At 38.5% G+C, this 4193-nt stretch overlaps 1 annotated feature.

Annotated features, from left to right (window-relative positions):
• Positions 3308-3921: an enhancer, noted in NCBI's record as "NANOG hESC enhancer chr12:77358407-77359020 (GRCh37/hg19 assembly coordinates)". NCBI's record gives its function as "activates a minimal SCP1, AML or CMV promoter by ChIP-STARR-seq in primed H9 embryonic stem cells {active_cell/tissue: H9 hESC(primed)}" and the evidence as "EXISTENCE:reporter gene assay evidence [ECO:0000049][PMID:30033119]".

Here is a 4193-nt window from a genome sequence, read left to right as displayed (position 1 = left end):
TTCATATTAAAATAACCTGTTGTTTCTTCCATAAATTGAACAGAATCATAAAGTATATAAAGTGTGAGAATTTACATATTTATCCAGAGTTTAAAAGATTTCCCAAGTCAGAAAATAGAACTCTATTTCAAAAGGGCTGAAGTAATGGACTTCAAATAAATGTTTCAATGTGCTCATTTTCGGTGAACTGTGAAATGCCTACATTCATTTATATATTCAGCAAACATTTCTGGAGTTTACCATGGGTCGTTACAGGGCCAGGCACTGAGAAATTCATTTTCTACCTCTTTGAAAGATAATGGGCTGCAGACTACAATGATTTTGCAAAAAAGCAAAGAAACTGTCAGGTCAATAATTATGAGATATCAACTCAGAACTATAAAAAGATCATTTCAATAACTACATCCTGTGCAAGACAACCTAACCATGGGAACAGAATATGAGAGTTTTTCTGTTACTACTTTAACAGATGAAATGTAAGAAAACTTTCTCCAGTATTTTATGGCCTGAACTATGCTGAGATTTCTTTCTTCTAATGTTACATTTTATGCCACATTCACACGTACCTGTTGAGCTGGTTATTTCTAAATGTAAATAAGTATTTACACTTGTATATGTAGGGATATTGTATTCTGGACTCATAAAATGTTCAATTTGGAAATCATCTAACCAAGCGATAAAATAATTTCAACTTTATACCTGCACATAATTTTTTTCTCTTTAAATGCAGTTTCTATAGCTAAAGTAGGAGTGGGAGAGAAGGCTTATGGGAATACTAAGGTGATGTTGCTCTCACAGTGTTGAAAGCACAGCAGCTGTTGTAGCAGAATTTCTCACCCCTGTACCACCCAGACATGCAAGTCCTGGCAAAGCTTCAGACTGAGCCACAATCCCCTTGGCGAATCAGAATTTCATGTGGCCCGAATACCCACACAATTGCTCTCTGTGGAGACACTCGAGCTTTTTAAACTACTCGTCTCAGAAATAGCTGATATTTTCTTTAAATTTTCTATTTTTATCCACAGAGAAAAGAGAAACCATCAAAGACAATAGAAAGAATTTAAAGGAGGACCTGTTTATCCTTGTACTTCAAAAGAGAAACCTGAAAAAACATTTCAAAGGCATCCTTGCCGGAAGTCAACCCCTGTGTCCAGACGGCCAAGGAAACAGGGCCTCCGTGTTGGTCCTTGTCAAAATATACTATCCTTGTTGACAAATCCCTGTGAGTCCATACCCTGAATTAATGCTTCTTACCAGACCCCACCATATCCAACCAAAAAAAGAGAAGAGGAAGGAACATCAGTAGTGACTCTGGATTTCGGATTTTCCTCTTTTTCCTTTTCTTTATTTTAAGCACCAGAATCTTTCTTTAAAAGAAATCACACCAGGAAGTCCAAAATGTAAAACAAATAAAATGAGAGAAGTAGAGGTGCTTTTAAATAAGAATGGCTGAGGCGAGGGCCTGGGTTGCTGACTCCTTACTTTTTCCCAACCTAATCCTGTGTCATCTCAAAAATAATCATCACCTTCATCATTGTTTTAATTTAGATCATACAGACAAGCTTTCCTGCATTCTGCTAAAAGTTGTAGGAGTGATGTGAGAACCAATAATAATGTTCCAGGTGGTCTCAAGTTTGTTCTAATTTTGATTTTTAGCACAAAGCCTGACTTTCAGATTTGTCCCCTGGTGCGGTGAGTAAAAACTGCACAAAAGTATAGTTATATTTTTTAAATGAAAACTACATGAATACATTGAGCTTAAAGTGGCAAAAAGGTGGGAGAATGGGTTACTTCCCACTTTAACCAAATATAGTGGTGAGGCTAAATGTTTTGATTCTGGAGTCATTAAATTCATAGTTTCTGGAATTATAATGCCTCAGTTGGAATCCAGCCTCTATCCTTGTTACCTGTGTGACATTGCACAATACTGTTAACTCTTTCAAAGGCTCTCTTTTGGTCATCTATAATATATGGATAATAATAGTGCACACCTCGCAAAGTTATTATGTATATTAAATGAATATCATTTTTGGTATATAGTAAGTATTAAGCAAATGTTAGATACTATTATCAACGGGCTGCGGTGTTGCACTCTGCCTTACGGGGATGGCACCAGTAGGAGTGGTGTCTAGCTTCTGTACGGCAAAAAGGTACAGAGTCGGCTTTGATGAGCGGTAGACAACCAGCACATCAAAGACTCCTGCAATCAAAACTCTGGCAGCCATCAGGCCTGCTAGCACTATGAGACCCTTTGATTCTCACAGCAACAGAATGCAGTGCTGGTGGCAGGAGTGTCTTGATGGTGGCCTCCAGTGGCAGTGAAGAGCTCCTTCACCTGGTTCTGAGGGTGCTGGAGGGCTCTTTATTCAAGCAGGTCAAGATCTCTGAGAAAGAACAGCAAGATGGCCAGTGTGGCTAGAATGAGGTGAACAGGGGAAGATGGGAGGAGTGAAGCAAGAGAAGTAACAGGACCAAATCATGGGAGGGTCCTATCAGCTTACTCTACAACTACTGATTTTTATTTTAATGGGATGGAGAGTCATTGCAGGAAGCTGAGAAGTGAAAATCATCTGCTTGGTTGAAGTAAGTGCTTCAGATAAGACTCTAAGCCAAGTAGGCAGCCATACAAGGCCAAGTGAACTGGATATGCTTTGACCTTCGTAGTCAAGCAAACTGCATACCAGTCATTCATGGTGATCTCAAAGTACATTTCACAGGTATTTTATAGTATCCAAATTAATTTTAGAAATCATTAGAAGTACCTGGGTAATTGTCAAACTTCCTTTAAATGCTGTGTTGCTATAGTATTATTTACTGAGTTATTGAGCTGTGAAATACAGACCAAGTGTAATAACCAAAGTCTAGTTCGAATGCGAAGCAGTTGGCAGTTGGTGTTAGTACCATCCATGGGTCACTGAAAGTACTAATCTACATTGTAATAGCCCAATTTTGATGATACCAGAACCAAGGAAAAGCCTAGAAATATTAGGAAACATTCAGTGACAACCACTTCCAAATTAGACACTGTGTATGAGATCCTGAAATTTACAACAAAGGCGAGGCCTCACAAAGGGAGGGTGCCTTACCTACAGTAAGTATTTGCTGACTAGATTTTATTTTAACATTAATGTAATGTGTCAGCATTTCTTACTGTCTGGAGCTAAAGCAAATCCCATCAATCATCTTTGAGGCTAGCTCTGTCATAAACACCCCAGTGAACTGAGGTAATACTTCCCAAGAACAGGTAATTACATGCCCCTTTACTTTCTCTGCTGTAGGCATCTGTTCCAATATCTGGTCACCCCACCCAAGAGACGACCAACAGAGTAAATGCTCAGTCAAGGATTAACAGATCGGGAATACTCCTGTGTGTTAAAAGATCGAGTAAAACTTCTATGAAAGTTCTTAAGTTAACCACAGTGTTGATAATGTAGCCACTGTAATATAATCACTATATCCTGATAGTGGTTCCTAACCAATAGCAACACAAGTCATAAAAGTATAGCTTTAAAAACTGAAGCTTCAAGGTTGCCTCGGCTATTAGCATTATAATGAGGAAATTAAAATCTGAAAGGATAGGGAACTGCTACTGGATCTCAAAGCAAGTTAACTGTAAAGCTACAACTATAGTTCATGTCCCAGGCCTCTTATCGCAGGGTTTCTTTCATTTCATGATGCTTTCTCCAAAGCTTTATGAATCAGTTAAGGTTCTAGGGTAGCAAGCAACAGAAACTATCTTGGCAAATGGAAACACAAATTGAGGGATTAATTGGGAGATTATAGGGGAGCCACAAATTGTAAAGAAAAGTCTTGAAACAGATAGAACCGGGTGACTTTAGAGAGTCTTTGTAACAGGAACTGCTGTCAACCTTGTCCAGATGCTGTGGTTGGCATGAAGGAGTTCCCAACAATTTATTTCTGACCTTGCATAATTTTACTCAAAACTTAAAGTCACACAAGACTCTAATAATGTTATGTGCCTCTTGGTTGTTCTTGAGTGATAAAAAAGAGAATCTTATGGAAGGAGCCTCCCCTTTATAGTTCAGAATAGAAAAACAAATAGGTGGATTTACCACCCCACCAAGACTTCACACAAGGGGGATAATTAATTCTCCTAAATGTAATCAGGGCAGAGGTAGAAAGGGGTATTTGTGTGAGCAGTCAACAACTGACAAATGTCTGAAACAAGATAA

The sequence above is a fragment of the Homo sapiens genome, chromosome 12, assembly GCF_000001405.40.
Source record: "Homo sapiens chromosome 12, GRCh38.p14 Primary Assembly".
In the NCBI taxonomy this organism is placed as follows: domain Eukaryota; kingdom Metazoa; phylum Chordata; class Mammalia; order Primates; family Hominidae; genus Homo; species Homo sapiens.
This window is presented reverse-complemented; position numbering and strand designations above follow the sequence as displayed.